The sequence below is a fragment of the Homo sapiens genome, chromosome 16 (assembly GCF_000001405.40).
Source record: "Homo sapiens chromosome 16, GRCh38.p14 Primary Assembly".
In the NCBI taxonomy this organism is placed as follows: domain Eukaryota; kingdom Metazoa; phylum Chordata; class Mammalia; order Primates; family Hominidae; genus Homo; species Homo sapiens.
Window position 1 is genome coordinate 54,046,524 of NC_000016.10, and position 26,293 is coordinate 54,072,816.

The 26,293-nt window shown below is 42.6% G+C and overlaps 1 protein-coding gene and 1 long non-coding RNA gene across 14 annotated transcripts in view, besides 2 other annotated features; both read left to right on the forward strand.

The window, feature by feature from the left end:
* The window catches only part of FTO (FTO alpha-ketoglutarate dependent dioxygenase), a 417,979-nt gene that overhangs the window by 342,561 nt on the left and 49,125 nt on the right, over window positions 1–26,293 (forward strand). The window lies entirely within an intron of this gene.
* On the forward strand, window positions 1,624–26,014 carry LOC105371271 (uncharacterized). The gene is made up of 3 exons (XR_933590.3): window positions 1,624–9,715; window positions 10,071–17,419; window positions 25,776–26,014. It is a non-coding gene; the product is annotated as an uncharacterized LOC105371271 (long non-coding RNA).
* Window positions 2,288–3,222: an enhancer, noted in NCBI's record as "NANOG-H3K27ac hESC enhancer chr16:54082723-54083657 (GRCh37/hg19 assembly coordinates)". NCBI's record gives its function as "activates a minimal SCP1, AML or CMV promoter by ChIP-STARR-seq in naive H9 embryonic stem cells {active_cell/tissue: H9 hESC(naive)}" and the evidence as "EXISTENCE:reporter gene assay evidence [ECO:0000049][PMID:30033119]".
* Window positions 3,223–4,156: an enhancer, noted in NCBI's record as "OCT4-NANOG-H3K27ac hESC enhancer chr16:54083658-54084591 (GRCh37/hg19 assembly coordinates)". NCBI's record gives its function as "activates a minimal SCP1, AML or CMV promoter by ChIP-STARR-seq in naive H9 embryonic stem cells {active_cell/tissue: H9 hESC(naive)}" and the evidence as "EXISTENCE:reporter gene assay evidence [ECO:0000049][PMID:30033119]".

Below are 26,293 nucleotides of genomic sequence, written 5' to 3' on the forward strand. Positions count from 1 at the left end.
GGCCATACTGCCCAAGGTAATTTACAGATTCAATGCCATCCCCATCAAGCTACCAATGACTTTCTTCACAGAATTGGAAAAAACTACTTTAAAGTTCATATGGAACCAAAAAAGAGCCCGCATCGCCAAGTCAATCCTAAGCCAAAAGAACAAAGCTGGAGGCATCACACTACCTGACTTCAAACTATACTACAAGGCTACAGTAACCAAAACAGCATGGTACTGGTACCAAAACAGAGATATAGATCAATGGAACAGAACAGAGCCCTCAGAAATAATGCCGCATATCTACAACTATCTGATCTTTGACAAACCTGAGAAAAACAAGCAATGGGGAAAGGATTCCCTATTTAATAAATGGTGCTGGGAAAACTGGCTAGCCATATGTAGAAAGCTGAAACTGGATCCCTTCCTTACACCTTATACAAAAATCAATTCAAGATGGATTAAAGATTTAAACGTTAGACTTAAAACCATAAAAACCCTAGAAGAAAACCTAGGCATTACCATTCAGGACATAGGCGTAGGCAAGGACTTCATGTCCAAAACACCAAAAGCAATGGCAACAAAAGCCAAAATTGACAAATGGGATCTAATTAAACTAAAGAGCTTCTGCACAGCAAAAGAAACTACCATCAGAGTGAACAGGCAACCTACAACATGGGAGAAAATTTTCGCAACCTACTCATCTGACAAAGGGCTAATATCCAGAATCTACAATGAACTCAAACAAATTTACAAGAAAAAAACAAACAACCCCATCAAAAAGTGGGCAAAGGACATGAACAGACACTTCTCAAAAGAAGACATTTATGCAGCCAAAAAACACATGAAGAAATGCTCATCATCACTGGCCATCAGAGAAATGCAAATCAAAACCACTATGAGATATCATCTCACACCAGTTAGAATGGCAATCATTAAAAAGTCAGGAAACAACAGGTGCTGGAGAGGATGTGGAGAAATAGGAACACTTTTACACTGTTGGTGGGGCTGTAAACTAGTTCAACCATTGTGGAAGTCAGTGTGGCGATTCCTCAGGGATCTAGAACTAGAAATACCATTTGACCCAGCCATCCCATTACTGGGTATATACCCAAAGGACTATAAATCATGCTGCTATAAAGACACATGCACACGTATGTTTATTGCGGCACTATTCACAATAGCAAAGACTTGGAACCAACCCAAATGTCCAACAATGATAGACTGGATTAAGAAAATGTGGCACATATACACCATGGAATACTATGCAGCCATAAAAAATGATGAGTTCATGTCCTTTGTAGGGACATGGATGAAATTGGAAACCATCATTCTCAGTAAACTATCGCAAGAACAAAAAACCAAACACCGCATATTCTCACTCATAGGTGGGAATTGAACAATGAGATCACATGGACACAGGAAGGAGAATATCACACTCTGGGGACTGTGGTGGGGTCGGGGGAGGGGGGAGGGATAGCATTGGGAGATATACCTAATGCTAGATGACACGTTAGTGGGTGCAGCGCACCAGCATGGCACATGTATACATATGTAACTAACCTGCACAATGTGCACATGTACCCTAAAACTTAGAGTATAATAAAAAAAAAAAATTAAAAAAAAAAAAAAAAGAATTTCCCTAAGTCAACAAGACAAGGTCTAATAAACTTCAGGTCTAACAAAGACTTCTGCTGTTTAATGTAAAAAAAAATAAAAAATAAAAAATAAAAAAATAAAAATACTTGAAAAAAAAAAAAAAAAAGAAGCTAAGATTTGAGTTGCTTGGGTGGAGTAGGTACAAGTTGGTGATTACCATTCAGGTTGGCTGCCATCTGGGTAGGTCTCCCTTCATGGAAGGCCCCAGCAGGGAAGCTGTAATCATGTGCTCAGTGAAGGCAAAAGTCGTTTTGATATCTTTTTAGTAAATCATTCCACCAACGCTGTGCAAGCCATAAATGTGGCACAGATTAATTGAGCAAAAAAAGTGACTTGCATACAGTTGGCACTTCTGTTCTTATTAGGATCAGAAAGAACAATTGGGTGAAGATCACTTCAGGAAAAAGAAAAAAGCATATGTTACTTATTGTTTTGGGTGAATGTTTTTATGGAAACAGGGATGCCACGTCATTAATAACTCTGGCATGCCATCCCAATTCTGGTCGGCCTGATAGATTAAACATGAGCCCTCTCTCATTATTCCAGCAGCCGTAGAGCATTGACTTTGCCTCCAGCCTGATAAGTATTCCATGCACATTCAAGCCTCCGAGTTGACATCTTCTTCTAAAATTGTTTGGCTGTAATAAATATAAAACTTTCACCACTGATGTAAAGCATTGCTGGTTGGCATCATTTCCTACCCCCTTTTAATTATTCCTGACACTGTGGAGAAACATCTAATATAAATCTGTAATGTGCACTGATGACAAACTACACGGTTGAAGGACCATGTAATTTCTCCACAATTAATTAAAGTGCATGGAGATTTTTTTTTTCTCTTTCATTCTTTCTTTCTTTTTTTCCCCCCAGCAGCCAGATGCCACTGACTAGCTCAGATAACACTGCTGTCAACTGTAAAAAATTAAGATCCAAACCGTAAGAAAGGTACTTAGATAAAGAAACCAGATGCCAGGTTATTTGTGATACTACCACATACGTCTTGATGGAAGCCACCATTGTTCAACATCTGTAGTTCCACAGCCTTAATTACGCACTTAACTCAGCAAGCCTGTCAGCAGTTTATTTCTACAAGTACCGTCACTTTTGTAAATCTTCCCTTAAAAATTGAATGCTGCCAATCAGCACAGGGAAGAGAGACAGAGACCCTGGAAGACCTTGTGCAAAAAGAGATGGCTGCCCGTTTATGCCGGTAGCACATGCTGGTGTTTATGGGCATGTGTGTGTGGTCACCCAGAGAGGAAAAAATGCTCTGCTACCATTTCAGGCTGATCTACCACCTGGAATTGATCAAAAGCAAATTAATTTTCATTTTCAATTAGGAATACAATTAAATTCAAAGTGGTGAGGGGGGGAAATGGCCATGTTTACATATAGCTCCTGCTGGTGGGAGGGCTTGAGGAAATACCAGATGAAATGAAATACTTGTCTTTGTATCTTTGCATTTAACTCATTCAAGTGTTAAGGTGGTGGCTGGGGCTGCTGCTGCTGGGACTGCAGTTTACCTCCCCTGGAGCTGCCCCTCCTTCCCTTCAGGCAGAATGTAGGCAAAGGGAAGAGGGAGGGCAGTCAGAAGGTGGCCACTCTGAGATGCCCATTCATGGGCTCTTTTCCCAGGATTTGGCCGTGGATCCAAGATATGGGTGTTTTCATGTAGAGCCTGAATGAGGAAGCAGTAGTTTGGCTTTGCATTCTGCTGGCTCTCAGCGTCAAAGCATTACCTGGCAAACGGATCCACGTCTGGCCATCATGAGAGATATTGAGTGATTGTGTGAAAACAATCTGGCTGTTGAATGCCTCATGTCACAGGATCCCGGCCCTTTTCACTTGACTTTTCTCTACATTCAACTGCTGCCTTTTGTTGGAGTAACTGAGTGGGGGCCTGTGGGGCAGACAGGATTCCTCCTGGCTGCCTGGGGAACAGTTGACCCAGTGTGTTCATCACCAAGGGTGGTAATTTGGGGAGCTTTGACCCTGATTTTAAGGAAAGTCAATTATTTGTCAATTATGAGTCCCAGAAATCCTGATATGGGACTCAGATGTTAAAGGCCCGGCTCTCTGGTTTCGGGAGAGATCACAGTGGATCTGAGAATATGAAGCGGTCATATTCTCCCAGAGCAGTGCATGTTGCTTGCCATAAGCCTTCTGTCATGCTGATGAGATTCTTCTAACTATCCATCTTGGAGATCAGCTTCTTTGAAAAAGCAGAGTGGGTGATAAATATTTGGTCATATGAATAACAATGAAGTAGCTTCAGATAATAGCTTACATCTTTATAAAATCCTCTGGGTGATGGATGAAGAGGAAGAGAAGGTTCTGGGTCATGGAAACAGCTGCTTTGGGTGAAAGATTATCCAAAGCAGGGTGGTGACCAGGAATCCTTGCTGCTCCAGTCCATACTTTACCTCCTACCCACACCCCCAACCACCTTTCTTGTCCTAAAGCAAGGGTTTACGTTTCCTCCCTGCATGGTATTTGTGCTTTAAAAGAAGATTTTATTACTTCTGCTACAGTGGAATTTCTCTTTTTACTAGACAGTTGGCATGACCGCAGCCTAAAACCGCAATGGAGTTGTTAACACACTGGGATCAGTTTTTCCCCCTTTAAAGCTATTCTTTTCTTTTCTTTATTTTTTTAAAGAGGAAAAAAATGCTCCAACAAATCAACAGAACTATTAACTTTCTGATTTATTTGCTAGAGAGAGCAAAAAAAGTCAATGTGAACTGACAGAAACGCCAGAACAGACAGTATGAAAACATTCTATGTGAAAGTTTCCAACTGAAATCGCACCACAAGCAGTTGGTTATCTGGAGATAGACATCTTCAATTTCCTGATTGCATAATAGAAATGGGATTTCTTTTTCCTCTACAAAAAGCGTTATCCATAATGTTGACATAAAGTTTTCTGTGCCTTGAGTTCCAAAGAGTACTCTTCTCAAGAACAGCCCAGCATCTTCTCAACTGCTAACGGTTACTGCCATTTCTCCTCCTTCAAGGGAAAGGGTAAATGTTGCTAACATGATGAAGGCCAGAAGAAGAAATCTTCAAGAGCCTGGGAGATTAACTCTGCCCAGCTGGCCGGTGTCATGGCATCTAGTAAACAGGCCGATCCTCCACTATAAGGAGAAATAGCCTTGAGAAAAATTAATCTGGTTATGGGTTGGCAACCCAATAGCTGCCTAGCCAGTGCACGTTTCTCCCTTTGCAAGTATCTCAGGGTTAGAAGTGTCTAAGGATTTGAGACTGTGATTCTGGGAGGTTCAGGACAGTTGTCCTGGCTGGGCCTGAGCCAGGCTTTGCCGTGGATCTGCCCACCTCAAGAACTGGCACAGGTGATAGGTAGTCTTCAAATCTACATGGCATCCCAATACAGTTGGTGACAATGCACTGTATTTTCCTCCCCCCTCAGTTTCTGAGGACCCATTTCTGAGATGGAAAGTTCTTGGCCCTGGCCTGTAGCTTACATCACTTTGGTATTTTTAAATGCCCATGATCTCAAAAGCAGTCCTCATATTAAAATCACCCTTTATATCAATACTTCATTTTATGTAACATAGTGTTTTAAAATTATATTTAAAAGGCAGCTTCTTTTGTCTTATGTGCCCTTGGCTAGGAAACAAAGGAAGTCTCTTTTAAGAGGTGTTTTACATTTTATGACTACTGAGAGAGAACATAGTTCTTTAATAGGTAGATATCTAAGAGAGTTTCACATTATAGGTTTTCAGAGATTAGAAGTTCTGGAACAAGGTTGTTTGATAACATCTCTGAAGGGCAAAGGAGCAAACGGAAACCTCAGAGGACTGGATGCCAAAACAGAACACTCTCTAGACTTGTGGGCAACAGGAGCTTTTCTGAGATCGTATTATTCTCACCGATAATAGCATCCTGCCTTGACTGAGGGTGAGGGTGTGCAAGATGGATCATTCGTGTCTTATACTTCATGGTTATGGGCATGTAATATGTTCTTCATTGAGCCAGGCAATTGACAGAGACGCCAGTGCATTTAAGACTTGAGTCTACTGGAAATGAGACTTGCTCTCTTGCCAGAAATGGATGCTTTTCTGTGTCCACCACTATCAGACATCTTGACTTTTTTTTAATCCTGACTCTTAAAACAATAATATCAAACAACTCGAGGGGGAAAAAGTTAAATATTTCCATATGAAGAGCTGATTAAATTTGTATGGTTTTCTTTTCAGTAAAAATTGATATGTGATGAAACACAGTGCAGCTGGATGGCTGGTTTGGGTTGATGCTGTCACATCCTCTGATCTCGCTACCCAGCTGTAAGGGCCAGCACCCGGTGAGCTGCCATGCTGCTCAGAATGCCCATTCCCAGGCACTAAACACCAATCACTGATTACCTGGCTGAAGTCTTTCCTCTTAAGTCTCATCGTTCTTCTGTGTGCCTTCCTTTTCAAGGGCAGGCTGAGTCCATGTGGAGCATTATGGTTGATAGGCATGTGATGCCCATCTAAAATACGGATAATAAGAGGAAAGGGCTTCTCAATTATTGGTGTGGATATGAGAACTTGACTTTTTTTTTTTGAGACAGGGTCTCGCTCTGTTGCCCACGTTGGAGTGCAGTGGCACTACCTCTGTCTCCTGGGTTCAAGAGATTCTCCTGCCTCAGCCTCCTGAGTAGCTGGGACTACAGATGCATGCCACCACACCCAGCTAATTTTTGTATTTTTTTAGTAGAGACAGGGTTTCACCCTGTTGGCCAGGCTGGTCTCGAACTCTTGACCTCAGGAGATCCACCCACCTCAGCCTCCCAAAGTGCTGGGATTACAGGTGTGAGCCACTGCACCCGGCCAAGAACGTGACTTTTGATTTTCCCAGTATTTGGAGTGGGTGGGCTGCTTCTGCTGTTGCCATTGGTGGCCAAAGGTAACAACAGTATATTTTGCTGTAGCAGATTTTACAGAGATGAAACCATCTTGCCACTTCTATTCTTAATAACTGTGTCCATCTTTCCTCTCTGCAGAGATGAAATTGCCAAAGAGTCAGAAGCTCCTCCAGGCTTAGCCAGCTTTCACCTTTGCTCATCATACATCTATGGGGCTCCTCTTAACTCACAGATGGGCTAGCGCCTGTTTTCAGCCTTTATCCTGATCCTTCGTATCTCCATGCCCGCTCCATGTCTCTCTCTCCAATGTCTCTTATCTCTGTCTTGCTTAACTGGGACCAGTTCTTCCCCCTCCCTCTTTCAGTTTCCAAAGATCATCTCCTGCCAGATCTTGGCCTAAAGTTAACTTGATTCTCTGGCCTCGCTTACAGAAGCCGAACTGCTCTAAACCACCTTTGGTGGCAGTGACTCCTTCCTGAATGAGGTCAGGCACTCGAAAAATTGATAGGCGACACTCACTCTGGGGCTTCTCACATATATTCCTCAGTCGGGAATGGTAAAGGTCCCCCCATTCAGGGACTTCAATTTTGTGACAGAGAAAAAGACAAATTTGACTGTCAACATTTGTTGGGCTCCAAGGAAGTTACACGTGTAACTGAGCTATTTCAGATCTCTATTTGTCAAGCCCAGTGTTCACTGTGGGTTTCCTTACATCCCTCCCCTGCCCAAACCCCTGCCTTCGAGAAACAGTCTACAAAAAAAGCATTTACCCTCTGAGGATTGCTTTGTAATTAAAATTTTACAAATGCCAAATAAACAAGGGCATTTTTGAAATGTAAATTTGTCATTTTTCGTAAGCAACTTAAATCAACTCCACCTGCCTTGAGACTGGTTTCTCCTTCAGCACAAAGCCACGTGCTCCTAGGTTCTCTTTTGGCTCCTGCAGCTCCGATTCCCCGTGCACTTAGATCCTGGTGTCGGTTTTTTTTTTCCTTGAACACTTTCTGCAGTTTAGTTATTTGTTGTAATTATCAAGTTCATTTTTCTCTAATAGATGTGATTAAGTATATTTAGCACTGTGTAATGAGTTTTCTGCCTGGTTGCATCTTAGCTAATAAGGAATTCCTTAGCGGCAACTCTGACAGCTGCTACGAGTCCCAGGTCTGCGCTGCCACAAGAGACTCCTTCCATGAACTGCTAGCATTAGAGAAATTAACTCCATTACACTAACCATAAAATTGAGGCTGAAATTTGATTACTAATAGATCCTCAATTCAACTAGAAACTGTAGAAACGGGGTGGTGCCAGTGGGGAGGAAGGTGAACGCGTGTGAAATGCCAGCATCCACATTTTCATCAGTGTGTGTGTTCACCACACTTCCAATTTATTTCCTGGGCAGGAAGGAGAGAATAGAGCCAAGCTGATGGAATTAAAACTGCGTGATTCAGCCGGTATAAGACTGGAAATCTTTGTTACTGCCATGATGGTAATACCTTGTTATTAGTGCCTCTGTCTTCGCTGAGCTGAGAAACCTCCCGGTGTGTTTTTGGCCATCAAAACTACTTGCCATTGTCACCGGTAGTCCAGATTTGTAAGGCTAAAGTGCTGAGGACAATTAGTAATTGGTGACTGGCTGCTATGATGTATAGTTGCTTAGCAACGGTGCCTGAATTAAGTCTCTGGAAGTGGCATACAGGAAGAGACAAGACAGGAAGATGAAATAGGTACCATTTCAATGTGTAGGTGAGTCAGTAATGAAAAAGGAGTGAAAGATATTTGTAATCATAGAGACGGCTGAGTGGAAAATTGGGGCTAAAGGAAAGAAAAGGCGGAACTTAGTTCCTCTCTTGCGAAGTAAAATAAGAGTAAATGGCAGTTGAATCACCCCATTGATACAAGAGCTCATTCTCTTTCTTTGACACTATACTGTGAACCCAATGCTAGCTGAACTCAGGGTGCATTATTTACCCAAAAGGCAGCATGAAAATTCATGGAAGGAAGAGATGGAGAATGAAGTTGCACTGGCTTGAAGTCTTTAGAACAAGATTAATTTAGCTTCCGTTAGTTCATACCAGCGAACTAGGATTAAGTGGGCGACAGGGCCCAGGTTTGATTCAGCCCTGCTTGCAATACTGGGTGGAACTGGTGCTCTGATATACTGATGTTCAGTCTTGCTCTGTTTGGAGTAGAGAAGTATCTTGAAGAGGCCACGAACAGCATATTCATTTCATTAGACTTGGCTGTTTTGAGACTCTGAGCAGACTAAGATATCACCCTGAACTACATGATTTAGTGAGCTGGTTTAGCCTCTGGAAGGCCAGATGAGCAAAAGAAAGTGGAAAAGCAGTACAAGACCTTGATCCAGATACTGAGCCTTGTTAAGGGACTGCCTTATCTATGGCAACGAGCTATGTCTAGAGGTCTGCAAAGGTGCAGGGGCTGTTTTGCAATTAGTGTTGAAACACTGAGATAAAGAAAGGATATATAGGAATTAAAAAGAGATAACGTAAACACTAACAAAGAGTCTTAATCCCCTCGGCTGAGTGTTTTGCATGTTTACCTCTGATCAGAATTCTTAATAATTTTGAGTGTGTTCCAACTCAATAAAAATTCCCTAGGAAGAAACAAGTCGATTCTTGGATTAAAAAACAAAACAGAAACAGAAAAATGTATGCCCATGTCTATTATTTTAAAAATAAAAATTAAGGAAATTAAATGACACAGGAAGGTTTTGTTTGGGTTTAGTTTGGTTCAGCCTACTCATGGGCACAATTCAGTCCCCCATTATCTACTGATTAGCAGGATATCTTTAGGGCTCAGAAAGCAGGTTTTCTGTCTCTACCGATGGCTTGTTTTCTGGCTGAAGAATGAAGGTGTTTTGATACAAAGTTATTATTGTTCAATTGAGAAAGTCTTTGCCCTCCTGGCCTGAAGTTCCCCACTGGAGAGAGGAAGCTGATAACAATCTCTGGTTCTTTCCTAGTACCTATAAAGGGCTCATCCTCACTTACAATAGAGCACTGTATTTTCAGGACAATGTATAATTATTTGGGAAGAAGCCAAAATGATGACTAGTGCGTAACAATAGCATGCATGATATCACAATCTGTCTAATGGCTGATGGTTCCAGTTTAAATATCTTAAGCTAAGGGTGCTCCGTGCTCTCACATTCATTCCCACAGTCCCACCACTGCTGTCCCTTAGGTAAGTAACACTCAAACTCTAGTTGTTTAATACTCAACTTTCCTGTAACTGTAAACTCTGTGAGGGCGGGGGTCATATACCTTGCTTCCCACTGACCATTTATTCCCAGCACCCAGCACAGGGTTTGTGGCCCAGAGGGCACCCAATAAACGTTGGTTGAATTAAATTGTTAGAATTTCCAAGATGGCCCCCAGTGAGCCCCACTTCCTGATATTCACAGCCTTGTGTAATGCCCTCCCTGTCAGTGTGGGCTGACGCTTCTGATGAATTGAGTAAGGGGGAATAAACTAGGTTACAAAAGGCAGTGTGGCCACTTATGATCTCTTTCTGTCTGGACTACTCACGCTGGGAGAAGCCAGTTCTACATTGTGAGCAACCCTATGGAGAAGCCCTTAAGTTGCTGAAGCCTCCAGCCAACAGCCATGTCGCTGATTTTGGAAGGCGATTTTGGAAGCTTATCTCCCAGACCAAATCAAGCCTCAGGTGACTGCAGCCCCAGCTGAAACATTGATTGCATTCTTATGAGAAACCCTAAAACCAGAGCCATCAGCTCCCAAATTCCTGACCCACAGAAACTGTGAAATAATAATGTTTGTTGTTTTAACCTGTTCATTTTTGGAGGTAATTTGTTACCCGGCATTAGGTAATGAATATACTGGCCAATTACCACATGTATCGATTCATTTATTTATTCATTCAGTAGGCATTGAATGACAACTTTGCCAGGGACTGTGCTAGATGCTAGGGATACCAAGACAAATAAAGCAAGGTCCCTGCCTTCAAAGAACTCACAGTCTAGGAGAGTGAGATGGACACGGAGTCAGAGAACACTGAAGGTTGGTTTATGAGCAGCAGGCATACAAAGGAGGAAGCTGGAGTGGAAGGAGCCGTAAAATTGACAAAGTGGTCTCTAATATAACCCTCCCCAGACACACATACAAATACAACACTTTCTTCCTAACTTTCACTTAGCTTAGCTGTAGACAGTTCCAGCAAACCTTGTTTAGCACTGCTCCGTGCTACATTGACTCCTTATGGAGCTGGCTGACCACTGTGGAAGAGAGAGCACTATCCTACATTCTCAGCCCTTGGCTGTGGGCATCCCATGATCAACGTGACTCAGTTTGAGTGACTCTTGCCAGTCTGTCAGTTTTCTTTCCTCTTCCCTGGTCTCTCTGTCATTAACACCCTATTACCTATGGATGTCTTCATTAGAAGCAAATGTTGTTTTTTGTTTTTTGTTTTGACACGGTCTCATTCTGTCGCCCAGGCTGGAGTGCAGTGGCACGATCTCGGCTCACTGCAACCTCTGCCACCCAGGTTCAAGTTATTCTCCCACCTCAGCATCCCGAGTAGCTGGGACTATGGGCACGGGCCACCACGCCTGGCTAATTTTTTTTTTTTCTGTATTTTTGGTAGAGATGGGGTTTCACCATGTTGCCCAGCTGGGCAAATGGTTATTTTTTAAATGACCAAAAAAAATGAGATTATTTTAATGCTTTGTATGCTCGCCCGATATATAAATGCAAGTTTCACTGTGGCTTGAGTCTGAACATGGTTGGTAGATGTGAGTCATACCCTGGGCCCAGCTGCGTCCACCAACAGAATACTTCTAAGGAGCACCAGGAAGATAAAGACATCAGCCCAAAACGCTCTAATATGTTGCTGGTGAGCAGTAAATCACAGTGGTAAGAACACATCTCCATGGGGACCCTGCTATCATGGCCCTTCTCATGGCTGATTCTTTAGAAGACTCATTCCCACGGCCTCTTCCTGTGGGTGACACAGTGCCCTGGACATGGGTGGTACTGTGTGGTTGACATAGGGCCTGAAGGTGGGTGACAGATGTTATGGAGGAGAATTTATTTTATTTTATTTTTTGAGGGGGGAGACAGAGTCTCGCTCTGTCGTCAAGACTGGAGTTCAGTGACACAATCTCAGCCCACTGAAACCTCCGCCGCCTCCAGGGTTCAGGTGATTCTCCTGCCTCAGCCTCCCAAGTAGCTGGGACTACTGGCACACACCACCACGTGTCAGTAGTCCCAGCTAATTTTTTGTATTTTTAATAGAGATGGGGTTTTGCCATGTTGGCCAGGCTAGTCTCGAACTCCTGACTTCAGGTGATTCACCCACCTCAGCCTCCCAAAGTGCTGGGATTACAGGCGTGAGCCACCACGCCTGGCCGGAGGAGAAACTCCAGCGCAGTAAAGAAACAGCCCTGCTGGTACTGGGTCCTTTACCCTCCAGAGTGGGGCTCAGGAAGAAGGAACAGGACCAGGTACCAAAAGCCCCAGTAATCCCGTCAAGAGGTGCCCAGGTTTAGAGATGACTTCAAGGAGGAGGAAAGCCTACACACTCTTTTTCCATCTGCTGCAGGCCACAGTGGCAAAGCAATAAAATGCTGATACCATCCTCCTGCAGGTATAACTGATTTAAGTGGGGAAAGGCAGACAATCTGTGAGAGACACCAAAGATTACTTGGCTTTTCCCCCCACCTCCTGTGCATGAACCGGAGAATGATGGAACAATTGGTTGTGTTTGGGGCCTTTATTTGCTTTTTTCCCTCCTCTCTTTAAAAAATAAATAAATAAATAAAAAATCTGCCTTTGTCTGCTGCTACTGTGTCTATTTTTGTTGTGGTGGTGGTTGTTTTAAATAGGAGAACTTGTGAAATGAGACTGCATAAAAGATGGACTTGTTTTATATATGGGATATTGCCTGTCCTTCAGATCTATGTGTCTCGCTTATGGAATGAACCAAAGTAGGAGAGATAAACTAATATTTTGTATCAGCTCAGCCAGACAATACAGATGATAAAGATGTTTCATCTTCTTATGCATGCAGAAAATATGAAAAATCGTAGTTTACACACATTTGCTCAATTCAAGTGTAAAATTGGGCCCCTCGATTGCCCTGGGCCACAGTGGCTGTGTTAAGGAAGCTCGATTTACCTTGCAGCCGAGTGAAAAATGATCAGAATATTAGACTCATCTAGCCCACATTAAGGAGCCATTGCATTTCCCGACAATTGTATGCTATCTCAATATGAAAACAGAGCAATTTCAACTCATATCAGGTTATGATCGGCAATTACAGTTGCATAATTCACCTAGTCATCTCTTTGCAGGGCCTTTATTTTCCCTCTTGGTGACATTCCTGAGAAAGTGCCTGATAAAAATGTCATATATCATCCCAGCTTTAGAACTCGTGAGGGGGTAATCTGCTATGCCTTGCTGAGCCCATATTCATCACTGGATTTTTGACTTGGAGGGGTCATGGCACTCATAATTTCCTGTTTGATATTGTCCTCACCAGCTCTGACAAGGGGCTGTAAAAGCTCGGTTGTAGGCAGTGGTTAAGCGCTGCTCCAGTGGGGCCCATCACCAGCAATAAGAGTGCATTACTGTGGCTCATGCTGGAGTTGGCCGTTTCGAAGATAATTAGATTTGATGTCAACATTTCTTTATCACCTGCATCCTTTTGTGCATCTGTGTGTCAAGTTGTTCTTTCCGGATTTATTAGCACCCTCAGAGCTACTCTCTATCTGTCAGCTTGTGTGCTGTTTGTGTTGACAGTTGTAAAGTTAATTACTAGTACTAATGAGCATCGGGCTTTTGGTGGACATGGCGTTTTGGACATTTAAAACTATAATTAGTTTTTTTTTGTTTTTTGTTTTTTGTTTTCTGTGTGTGGTGCTTCAGTACAAAATAAAACGTGTTTTAAAAAAATACGTCCCTTCCATTGCATTTTGACATTCTGTGTGCAGTCAACTTATCTTTTATTCAAAGGCTCCAAAAACTCAGTTCTGTTTCTTTTTAAAACAGACTTCCTTTTCATTGTAACTCCATGAATAATTTCTTTTGTTCCTTACTTCTCTTCCAACTTGATAACGTGACCATTTCATATGCCTTGAGAATTAAGGATAGTGATGGTGGAATGATCAAAAAATGTGCTGGGTAAATGTTCATCTCTGCCCAATCGGTGGACTACAAATTTTCCACTTTTAACTCTCCTCTTTTCAAATCGTACTCTGGGTTCAACCGAAAGACTCAGTGAATGAAGAAGATTGGATAAAATGAAAAGTGTAATAAATCGTTCTCTGAGTGGCTGGCCCCAAAATAATAGTGATAGCTCATATTGGTGTAATGTTAACTCTCTGCCAAGAATCATGGTAATCTCTATATACAGATTACCTCATTTAATCCTTGCAACAAACCTAAGAGGTCAATACTATTATCTCCATTTTACAGACGGGGAAACTAAGGTTTAGAAAGGTGAAGGGTCTAACAACTAGGAAGTAGTGCTGGGATTTGAATCCAATCAGTGTAGCTCAGAGCCTGTGCTCTTAAACACTATTCTATAGACACAAAGTATGCTTTCAAGGAAAATTAGCAGACTCCTGGGGCATGTATTCTAGAACAACAAAAAACAATCACTTACTAAATCAGATCGGCTCATTTGTATTTCACTCCCAGCCATACTGGGACGCTAGTTTCAGTGTAATGGCAATTATCTATGGCATGTACTTTATGGAGGTATTTTGTTTGGTCTATTGCGGCAGCAAAGCACCACTCCCTTGCTGCTATTCATATTTACTTTCTATTCATCATTATCTGCCATTTTGCTAAATAACTATCCTTCCCAGACATAAATCATCTATAAAAAATACTCTGGCTCAGAGAAAATTTCGCCCTGGCCCTGCAATGATGAGATAACCATTTTCATCTCTTGTTGAAGCATTGAGATTTATTGGCTTTCGATGGGCAACAGACCAGGCATCACTCTCTGCTAAACAGACTCCCACTTGCATTTATTCTTATTGCATTTAGTGATTCAAAATGGAGCTCTCGGAATCCCTTGAGGGTCCATTCCCAGCCTGGGTGGGGTGTTATTACTTTATATTAGATAAGGGAAGGACACACAAAGAAACATGCGGTGATTCGGATGATTTTTTATTTCCGTTTAGCAGTGATGACAGAATGTCATAGTGAAATGACTTCAAAAGTCATTTTTCCCCACTGCCCTGGTTCTGCAGCCTTGTCCCTTGAGGGCTCTTCCATTGTACAGTGTTATTAATTCTGCTAACTTTCAGACTTCATTGCTGACAACAGGCCTCTTGGCTTTCGCAGCCTATTACATTAAATTTCCCATCAAACCATGTCAGCCTCTGAGGTCACAGATTTCAAGAGAAGCTTTAGATATTTTGCCATCTGACTTCATGGGCAGGTGTTTTCTAAATTGCTTTTAGGTTTGTTTTTCCAGTGTCAGAAATCAGATTGAACCTGTTTAAAAAAACTCAGACAGTGAGTGCTCATCAGGATAAGAACAAAGCGGAGTTTGAGGCACGCCTGAACTGGCATGTGTGTTTGTGTGTGTGTGTGTGTGTGTGTGTGTACAGCCGCACGCATGCACTTGTGTTTCAGTTGACCTTCCAAAGGCAGAGCAAAGCCTTCCGACTCAACTTCATCCCCGGCCCCACCTGGTGAGTACAGTGTCTTGTTGACTATCTATTTTTCTAATACTTAACTGAAGCCCCAAAATATAGTGTGACTGCCCTGGTGAACAGAGATATGCTCTACTGACCTTGACTTTGGAGGGCTCTGTGAAACTGTTGAGTAGCATTAGAAGGTCACTTTGGGCAGGCCAGTGAAATGACAGAGGACCTGGTCTAGGGCTAGAATGCCTTAACATGGACTCCTCAAGCAAGTTCCTGGCGGCAATAAAATTTCAGTGTGTCCCTTGATGCCTTTATTTTGGTGTGCTGTTGTGGGATCAAAATAAAGGAAAAGCAGAAACCTTCCTTCCAAGTAACATGGCCACAGGCATCACGTTGCTGTCAAAATTACATTCTGAAGGAAGCCTGCACAGGAACGTGCAACTGGGGCTCCATTTAAAAACAGAAAAGAAATGAGATGTTATTTTTGAAGCAGTCAACTCGTGGAAATGATTACAAGTCATTTGGCAAACCCAAAGTCCCCTTGAAATTCTTATTTATTATTAGTTCCGGTTAATATTTCTGCTCTGAAAATGACAACATTCAAATCTTGGCTTGCCGTGATAGTTCAGATTGACAGGCTTGGCCGTTAACACCTTTTTGGTCTTCTGAACTGGGTATTGTAGTGTGCTTGGCAGGGGGGTGCGGCAGGAAAGTGACAGACCTTGGAAGCTGAAGAGGAGGGAGGACCCACACGCTGGCTTCCTCAGTGATGGGTATCTAAGCACTTCAGTGCCTCACCTAAGAGCAGGTGACAAGAGCTTGGTGGCTTGCAGGAAGCACTGCAGTTAACTCTAGCCCCGCCCCCTTTTTTTCTTTATAATTTGTAGAGACCTCGGAAGCTGCTGTTATCTGAACCCATCATTAGCCAGCTCTACCTGCAGGAGGAGATGCTGAACCAGGCTAGGACCAGAGAAAGATGAGTGAGGCGAGGTAGTGTCACTCTGTTTCCTCCTGCTAGCAGCCATAAGGAGAGAGAATCATTTGTGGCACTCTGGGGACAGTTTTGTCACCCTGACAGTAATGCTGTTATGCGCTGGCTTGACACACAGGATGAATCCATAAAGACAGATAAGTAACTGTGAAAGTGGCTGGGGATCAGGCTGAGTGCCACCACTCACCTGCAGTGACAAATAGATAGTCATGAAGGATTGGAAATCCTGCCCAACACAGAGATCTGTCAGCAGAGAGATGGACTGCAACCCCAGTGACACAGGCAGCTGGAGCAAAGTGTGTGTGTGCACACATGCGCCCCCGAGGGGTGTGCGGGGAGGTTAACTTCAGAGCCTTGTTTCCGAGAGGGTGTGTGTGGTGGTGCAGGTGGGATGAGAAGATTTCGACACTTTTCCTTTATGAAGTAGAACTGTGGATGTTGTGTCTTTTTGTTGGTAAGTTCAGGCACATTTGGTTTAGAAGGCTGTGCTTACTTTCCGTTTTCCCCGGAATTTTTCTGATACCAATAGGGGTCCCCATCTGCAAATCAAATGAATCCAAGTTATGAGAGCAAAATACTACTGCTGAACTGCTGATGTTGGTGGCACCAGGCAAGGGACAAGCGGAAGCAGGGGGGCCCTTATTTATCTTTTATGCTGGAAAGGCTTGTTCTTCCTGGCTGGAAATCTGCTTTTCGTCAATGAAAGAAATTCCAAGGGAATTGTTTGAAAAAACAAGCACAAGGCTGGAACTGCTGTTTCCCACTTGGGCTTGAGATCCGAACAGCGCTACGTTTTACAGTTTTGAAATCTGTTACTGTTATTATGCAGAATAGATCATCTTTGTTGTAATTATCCTTGAGATCACAAATGCCGTATGGTGTTCTATTGTCTTTCTGGGAAGTTATGAAATAGATTTGAGGCGAAAAGTAAACATAAGCGATAAGAGTCAAACCTCATTGGGTCACTGTCAGCCATTTGGACAGAAGCCCTAAATGGCCCAGAGGCACAGCCATTTAGAACTCTTTTCTTTTTTTTTTTTTTTTCAGTAGAATATTTTGACCCCCAGAGGTATGCGTAGCTATATCGGGGATCCAAAGGTTTCACACAGGATGAGTCCTGTGTCTACATGCAGCGTAGCAGGAGCTGGGAATGGAAGCAAACCAATATTCCAGCATCTGCTTCTAGAACAGTGATCAGGATCGCTATCGTTAATAAGATGGGTGTATGTGGGACCCAAGACTCATCTGTCAAGCCCTTCTTCTGACTGCTTTTAAGGTAATATTTTTAAAAAACAAGAAATTACAATAAGCTTTTTTTTTTCAAATGAGTCTTCTTGTCCTATTCCTTTATTATTTTGCCACCTACCTTTGTCATCGGTGGAATTGTACTTCATCTATTTCAGCTTTACTTATCCTGCTAGTTTTACTTCTAGGAGCTTAACGTAGGGTACTGGTAATTCTAGAACTGGTTCCTGAAAAATGGTACATGTAGCTTTAAACTATTATCACCACTGTTGCTGCTGCTATTACTATTACTACTTCTACTTGAGTGCTATATATTTAAACATTTATTCTTTCTATGTAGGCAAGCCCTTGCAACCAGATATTTCTTTCCAAAGCCCTGGGGTCTATTTGTTAGCTTTAAGATTCTTTATTTTAGTTTATCATTTTGTGAGACTAAGAATATTTTAAAGCAGTTCAGCTGTAATGAAAACATTTTCTTTTTGACCCTGGGTTCTGAGTTTGACATGTTTTGACCCTATCATTCTAACCATGATTTAAATTCTGAATTTCCAGAAGCCTTATTAAAGATGTCAATTTGTGCACCAGAATGGTAAATGTTCCTGTGAACTTTGACTCCTAAAGGAAACTCTATTTTAAAAGAATAAAAGATTTTCCTGATAAATATGTTCCTCATTTTGGGCTAATACTTTCAGTCTGAACTGGGGAATGGGGCAGGGAGAGACCATTGCCTGACCCTACTTGCTCCCTCATTCTGTAATCCAAAGCTATTTTACAACCCACAGCATTCGATTTTTATTTTGCCAAGAACACGTTGGTAATGGGATGTAAATCTCCCGGTGCACACCTGATTAAACAGGCCTGTATACGTGAATTAAAAAAGAGGGTGAGCCCCTTGCCATCACGGGGTGACAGGGAAGCACGCCAGATAACCGGAGCTCAGTTGGCTGAAGGGAGCTCGGTGGCTGTTTTTATTAACTTGAGAGCTAAGGTCATGCGGCTTCTTGGGGCCTTGGTGAGGAAATGTAAGTGAGAGGTCTTTCCCTGGCTGCAGATCTCCTCATTCTGATGTGCAAGGATGCTCCTGGAAGTGGTCTGGCCCCCACCCGCCTGACTCTGGTCACAATGGCCACTGTCAGGCACCAAGGCACGTACCACTGAGGCTGGGGACAGCTGAGTGTTAGCATAACATTTTATTTTATTTTATTTTATTTTATTTTATTTTATTTTATTTTATTTTATTTTATTTATTAATGTACTGATTTTTGACCTGGGGTCTTGCTCCATCATCCAGTCTGGAGTGCAGTGGTGCAATCATAGCTCACTGCAGCCTCAAACTCCTAGGCTTGAGCCTTCTTCTGCCTCCGCCTTCCCAGTAGCTGGGACTAGGGACTACAGGCGCACACCATCACACTTAGCTAATTTTTAAACTTTTTTTAGGAATGGGGTCTTACTGTGTTGCCCAGGCTGGTCTCGAACTCCTGGACTCAAGCGTTCCACTCACCTTGGCCTCCCAAAGAGCTGTGATTGCAGGTGTGCACCACCGCATCCGGCCCACAGTTACTCATTCTGCTGACCTCTGTTGCTGCTCTCCTGAGTATATTCCGGCTTTGTAGTCAGGACATCAGATACTAGCATTTGTCAATAAAAAGTGTCAAATGATGTGAACTTCCTCAGTCTTACCACCAAACCCTACTTTTCAGCGAGAGTGCTTGCAGAGAGAAATTTCTTCTAGAGGGTTTGGCTTGCCTTGTCACTTTCTGGTTCTCCCTGTCTTCACCAGATCAAACTATTCGCAGAGAAAACCGGGCCACCTCTTGGACCTTTCTGGGAATGGAAAAATTATTTTGGTGATAAGATGTTTCCAGCCCACTGTTAGGGATCATGGCACTGTGCCCATCAACACTTGGTATTACCCCAGCCTCCTTGGAGTCCTCGTCCCCATCTCCCTCTGACCTGAGTAACTTTGAGGAACTTTAGTATATTTGGAACCCGTATGCCAGCAGCACTGTTGGAAGCTATCAGGAGGACACCTGGTAACTAACTAACTTACTAGCTAACTTACTAACTTATACAGCTCAACTAACTTATACAGCAGAGCTGTTTAGACTAGCCACTTTTGCACACAGTACTTCTCTTGATCCTCCTAACCCAGTGAGATGAATGAGGTAGATATTATTGGTCCCGCCTTGCCTTGGGGACACTAGCATCTGAGGAGTTACCACTACTAGTGAGTGTTGGGACCGGGATTCCCCATAGCATTTTTGCTGTCCCAGGAGACTTTCATATGCATTGTTTTCCTGGGTCCTTACGGTAGTCCATGCAGTAGGTGAGACAGGTGATGAAGTTTTGGTCTGCAAATGGGGATGCTGAAACTCAGAGAGGCTGACTGGCTTTCTTGGGGACATGGCAGCTGACAAGTGACACAACTGGAAACGTATCCCAGCCCTTCCAACTTTTAGACCGACACCCTTTCATTACACGAGGACTAACTCCACAATTATGAAAATCTCAAAAACAAAGCTACTCTGAAGTCTCTATATAGCTTTGCCCTTCATATGATTCCAAATTCCCATGCCAGTGAAGCTGCAGTTCCGGGGAAAATCCCGTGAAAGGAAAGTCTTCTTTGGCTAGCTATTCAGACCAGGCCAGGGAGGGCTTAGCAGTGTGCCCTACACCCAGCGCATGTGCTCACCAGCCCATTGGTATTGAAGGTGCTAACAGTCTGGACTCAGATCCTGGCACTGCCCACCATTTGCTGACTCATGTCCCAGGCATTTGCAAAGTGTATGGGCTGTCATACAGAAATAGAGTGGATGTTTGGAAGAAGAGTATCAGGTGTAGCTCAGGACCAGTAGGAAAGGTGTCCCTGCCAGTGGGGACAGAGAGCAAAAGCAACGGGACAAACATTGAAGGCACAATACTGCACTGTAGAGGCCTCCCATCTCTGCAGCCCCAGCTTGGATCACAAGGGAAGTTACTGCACAGCCAAGTATGCTGCATTTGCAAAGGTCAGGCTTTAATTACATGCACAGTTAAATGGAAATACTGTAGAGAGGTCACACTCATATTTCTTTGGCTTTCATTAATGTTATTGCTCTGTCACTTTCCCTCTCCTTAGGTTTGTAAATGAAAGTTCCTTTAGTACATTTAAAAGCATTATTTATTTTTAATTGTCTTACCTCTGGAGGGAGAGGTTACTTCTTTTTGGGGTGTTTTTGGTTGTTGTTGTTTTTTTTTTGTTTTCTTTTTTTGAATAGACTTAAAAAAAAAAACTTTGCCTATGCATTTCTGGTTAATTTATTTCAAACCTTTTGCTTTTTATAGTCTTATCTACTAATACTTTTGATTAAAACACAAGCAAAAACCAGCCAACATGAACAGGTTGAATGCCACATCTGTGCAGAAGATAGCAGCTCACTTATTTATGGCTCAGAGAAATGGAGCCTAAATTAAGCTAGCTATTGCTGGAGAGTGGATAAGCGGCCATTATGAATTATCCTTAATTATAGCGATTTCCTAAACTAATAAACCTGCTAAATCTTTATTGCAAAGGTTAGTTTACGCAGTGCATATAAAATCCGCATGTGCTCCGCATCAGCCACCAGCTGTCTGACAGTGTGTTGCTATTGCAGTGAGTGTTCACATAAATTTTATGTTGGTTATATTAACAGTCCGTCCATATCACTACCCACAGATGCCAGTAGACATAAAAATTGCTCTCTAGTGAGCCTAAATATCCCTAGAAGCTAGTTGTGTCTAATGTTCCATGTAGTATTTGAACGTGAAAGCACCAGATTGGAGGGTTATTTACAGATGAATATTTCAATCCACTTAGTTCATATAGGCCTACTTAGCCTTCTTTGCTGGTTTATTTGTATGCTAAATAATTCACCAAAGGTTCTTGTTTACTTTCTATAGTAGTTTCTATGAAATGCAAACAAGGGAGCCAAGTTGAGGTGTTCAAAAGGCTAAGCAGCTCTGTGTTTAAATGCAGGTCAGAGCAGCAAATGCAGTCTTACTGACGGGCTGTCACTCAGTTTTACACATTCCTCTCTCCTCTGTCTTTTTTTTTTTCTTCCTCCTCCAGATATAACTGGGGCTTGCTGCTTTCATAGGAATTTTTGGTTGGACTATCTTCTAAATTTGTCTTTTTCAATACCTGCCTGTGTGCTACCTTCAGCTTGCACAATTAACCACCCAATGCCAGCAGCAAAGAACACATCCCTGGCTTTGAGAAGCTTCCCCACGGTCCTCTGGGCTAACAAGAACAGGTCAATCCTCAGCTCTTGAAATGTCCTTGTTGTCTTCCTTTTTTTCCTTTCTCATTTTCTTATTTTTCTTTTCTTTTTCTTTCATTTCTCTCCCATGGTTTTTTCTAGTGCATTTCCAGATCTCAAGATTTGAAAGGACAGCAAATAGGACTTTTTTCCTTGAGAGCCCTGAGCTCGCCCAGCCTCTGTCAACCTGAAAGCCAGAAGGGCAAAGTCTAGCTCTAAAAAATGCAGCCTTGAGAAGCCCTTAGAATATATGTTCACCCAGGGGTGAGAAGGATCATTGTTTTCTGGCAAGGTAACAGTTACCTGGCCCTATTGTTCACATGTCCCCATGGCTGAGGTTATGAATGAAAAATACCTATCTGCCCCCACATTTTGCAAAGGTTTACGATCCTAAACATTTGCCCCCAAAGAGATGGGAAAATAGCCTCCTCCATTTTCAGCCAGGCACTGCCAAGATCATGGGCGAGTTCAATAGCAGTGCTAACTTTTTATTTAATAATATTGATTTTATCATTTTTACTACTTACAATGGGGATTGGTCGGCTGATAGTTATTTGACCTCCCTTTGTGCATGGCTGTGGAGTGCTTCGTTAAGGCTATTGACATATATCTCTCTTCCCCACTCTTCTTCCAGCAGCCCATCTCGGCAAATAATATTGAGATGCGGTAACTGTTCCCTGATATTGATTTCAGATTGTGTTCATCACACCCTTCTCGGGGCCAGGCAGAGAGCAGCAGCCCCAGTTCTGCAAATCCTTGATGGCTGCAGGCTGAAGTATCGTTTCCATCTTTCAAGCAAGAATATCAACCATATATATTTCCAAAACATTACCCAAGAAAACGAAAGCATTTTTTGATCATGATTATTTTTTTACACATACATAATTAAACTGATCGCTCCAGTTTTATGTTGGGCTTTTTCTGCACTTTTCTTTTTAAGGAATGCTAGAAGATCCATGGGTCCCTGAGCTGGTAGAAGGAACTCTGATTACATTTTTAAGCTTCAGGGATTCAGGATTTGGCACACTCGGCCAGACCCAGGGCCTCGTTGACCTTCAGTTCTCAGCCAGCTGGGGCCGTCTGCACCACCTGGGCCTAAAAAGTTCCATGTTTGGCCCCTGTGGAGTCAGTTGAGATGGCAGGGTATTTAAAAGAACCAGAGGTTTAACATTCAGGGAGAGCCTACCTAATCTAGTGATTACAATCAGACGTAGGAAGGACATGATGCAGAGTTTAGGTTTGCATATTTATTTAAAACACCAAACACCAAGCAAATACTAATAATATTGGAAATTATACGTTCCATGGGGAAAAACAAAAAGGCAATAGAGAATCTATACCAAGAGTGATTATATCTGAGCAGTAGAATTGCAGGTTATTTATATTTTTTCTCTTTGGGCATTTCTATGTTTTCTTAATTTTCTTTTGTAATTAGAAAAAAAGAAGCCTATTCATAAGTATTATTTTTTTTTAATGGAAAGATTAGTTGGATTGGAGCTCCAGAAGATCCCTGTCCACCAAAGTGAATGCATTAGCCAGGGTTGAAATTGACTCACTGGCCATGCTAATCTCTGCCCCAAGGGAAGTGGGACAGACATCACTCCTATCATTGTGCACCTGCCAGTTTTCATTTTGTAAATCCAGTGGGGGTTGTGCTAGCCCTTGCCGCTGAAGCAGACATACAAAATGGTTAGGAAGAAGGGCCATGGAGTCAGATAAGCCTGGGTTTGATTATTGGTTCTTTCTCTTGCCAGCTATGACTTTGAGCAGGTTACTTAACTTTCTCTATGCCTTGGTTTTTTCATCTGGAAAGTGGATTTTTGACAACCCATCTCATTTAACAGGTTATCTCATTAAATGAGATAGTGTATAGTAAGCTCTTAACCTAGTGCCTGGCATCTAGTAAGCAATCAATACGTGTTAATTATCATTACTGGCATCGGGCATCTGTAGAGCAATTTCCTCTTCAAACTAGACTCATAATGAGAATTAGCCTAAACACAGTCTGCAGAATGGTCATTTTTTTCTCCTTAAGCACAAATGAGACTCAGTTGAGATCTGCCCCAGTGTCTAATACATATAAGATTTTCTAGGACATCCTGATTTTATATAGCATTCTTTGATTAAAGGCAATTCATTTTAAAATGTATATCTAAATGGAAATTTTTTGAAGATTTTAAAATAAATAAATATATGTATGTATCAGGAGAAAACCTTAGAGGTCTTTATTCACGATTCTGAACATATGATCACCATACTGATAGCTCTTTGACATAGAAGGTGCTCCTCCCCACACCTTCTATCCAAAGCAAGTATTATTCCAGAAAAATACTGGAAACCTATCAGGAATCTTTAGAATATCGTCCATTTTTTTAGAGTCAGTTTTGCTATTCTCATGCGTTTCTTACTTATAGGGTCAAAAACACTTTCTAATACCACGGATGGCATGGAATTCTTCCCTGCAGGCAGCCATCTTCAAGACTGAAAGCAGAATTTAAAAAGCAGCTAAATTAGAGACTTTACACAGTTGCTGGATCCTGCTTAATGAGAGACAGCGAACATTTTGCAGGCTACTGAACTTCTGAAATGTGACAATCCAAGCAAATGAAATCATGGTACCTTTCATTGTAGTTTAATTGGACTCAAACTCGGCAAGAGGGGCTGCTGAAAGCTGTATTCAAAGAGACAGACAGGAATTGTACAACAACTAATTCAGCCCACACAACACATCTTACAACTGTCCAAGCTCCACACTTGCTCTCAAGACTGACTCTTTTGGTCAAGAGAGAGATAGACCTGCAGTGAACAAAAGCACAGATTGTAAGGCAGGCCAAATACTGGCATTGGGAATGGCATAGCTGTCACCCCAAGTTATGCATTTGAAATAGCTCAGTCTCATGGCAGCCAGTACAGGCCAATTTATTTTAAAGAGGAAAAGAGAAGTGAAACAAACTTAGGCCCTCTCTTCTGCCTGTTAGGGTGTCAAGATATCAGTGTCAAGGAGTCCAGTTAACAGAAGGGTGAGGATGAGTTGAGCATAAACACTAACAAGAGAAGAACTTAGCACAGGCCTCCTGTTGAGTGGAGCTAAATGGCAGTCCCAGTTGAGTAACCCAAAAAGCAGAGAATTACCGTAGCTGTCAGGAGTGGGACCAAAATCCTGTCAGGCAGCGGTAAAGGGGATGGGAACGGTTTGAGGGAAAGGCGAGTTTTGTGGGGGAGTGAGGTCAAGAAGTAGACTGTTTTAGGGCATGCATGTCTGAACTTAGGAGGCCCTTGGACTGTTTAGGAGGGTGTCTTGGCTTCCTTGTTTTGTTCTTGTATCATTTGAGCTCTGTGGCCTGAAACTGATTATATCATCTCAGCCCCTTCTGGTGTAACCATCCCGCCTGACCACTTGAGTCCACGTTTACTGTTATTATGGCTGTAGGTTTAGCCAGTAAGGCTAAAAGAGTGGACAAATTGGGTGCCTGCATGTAACAGGCCATCCTGGACATTGATTTTTGAAGGTTCATTAGATAAATGCTGACATCACAGATTGATGTCTCTTTAAACCAGTACCTAGTGCAGGACCGTCTGGGGAATCAAAAATATTGATGTAAACATGTTTGAGTAGAAGGCCCACTGGAGAATTCCACTGCCTAAATGGGATCCATCAATTTAGGCTTTCTTTAATTATTCTAATTCTATGCATCACATCAATAGGGGAGTTTGTCTGCAGAACCGGTTTTTATAGGGGGTGCCGCCCCTACGTTAGGGGCAAAGGAAGGCCGGACAAGGTATCCACATCTATTTTTCATTGTTGTTTTGAGTTGCTGTTTAGTAATTAAAATTTTTGATCATAGACTAATTTTCCCATACCATGTGGCCGTGCGATTGACAAGGGACTGATTAATGGGCTGACCCCAGGGCCAGGAGGCTGCTGGGCTCTTCTCTTGTGGAAGGCATGCCGGCAAAATAAAGTTGATGGTTTTGTTTGTGTTTAACCCTTCACCTTGGCACTATCAATAGATTGAAGACATCATTTGTATCTGCAAGTGTTTCTTTAATTAAGACCTCCTAAAAATCTTTCCTATTGATTCATTCCATTATCCTATTGATTAACTGCAGTGGATCATGTACTTGGTCTTCAGTGGAAGGCAACAGCCTCAGCCGTCTGTCATGACTACAGATGCAGACCACAGGCAGCCAGCAGCCAGCGCCCAGGGCTGGCAGGAGTGTCTCGCGTTCTAATGAGGCATCAGCGGTGGCTCACTGAACACCACAGAGAAAGCCAGTTGTCTCCTGCTGAAGGGGTGGCCAAGCATAAAGCATTCCTTCCAGTTATTTATACTGCAGCCACTTAGCTAACAGTATGTACGGGGCTACTGGCAGTCTTGAGCTGGGGGAGGGGAAGGATTCTGCTGTGCATCTGAATTTGAAAATCTTGAGCTTTGAAATAAAAGCAGACTCTGAAATCTAGGTGCAAGGCATGGTTCAAAGGCTGACTGTTCGTGTTCCTTTCCCCAGGCTGTAGTTTTGTGCCCCGCCCCATCCTCACACTGTCCCCCATCCTATCAGCCTCCTCACTAGGATGGCTAACTAGGAAGTACCACAGGGGGCTTCCGTTTTGGAAGGAGCTTCCCTCT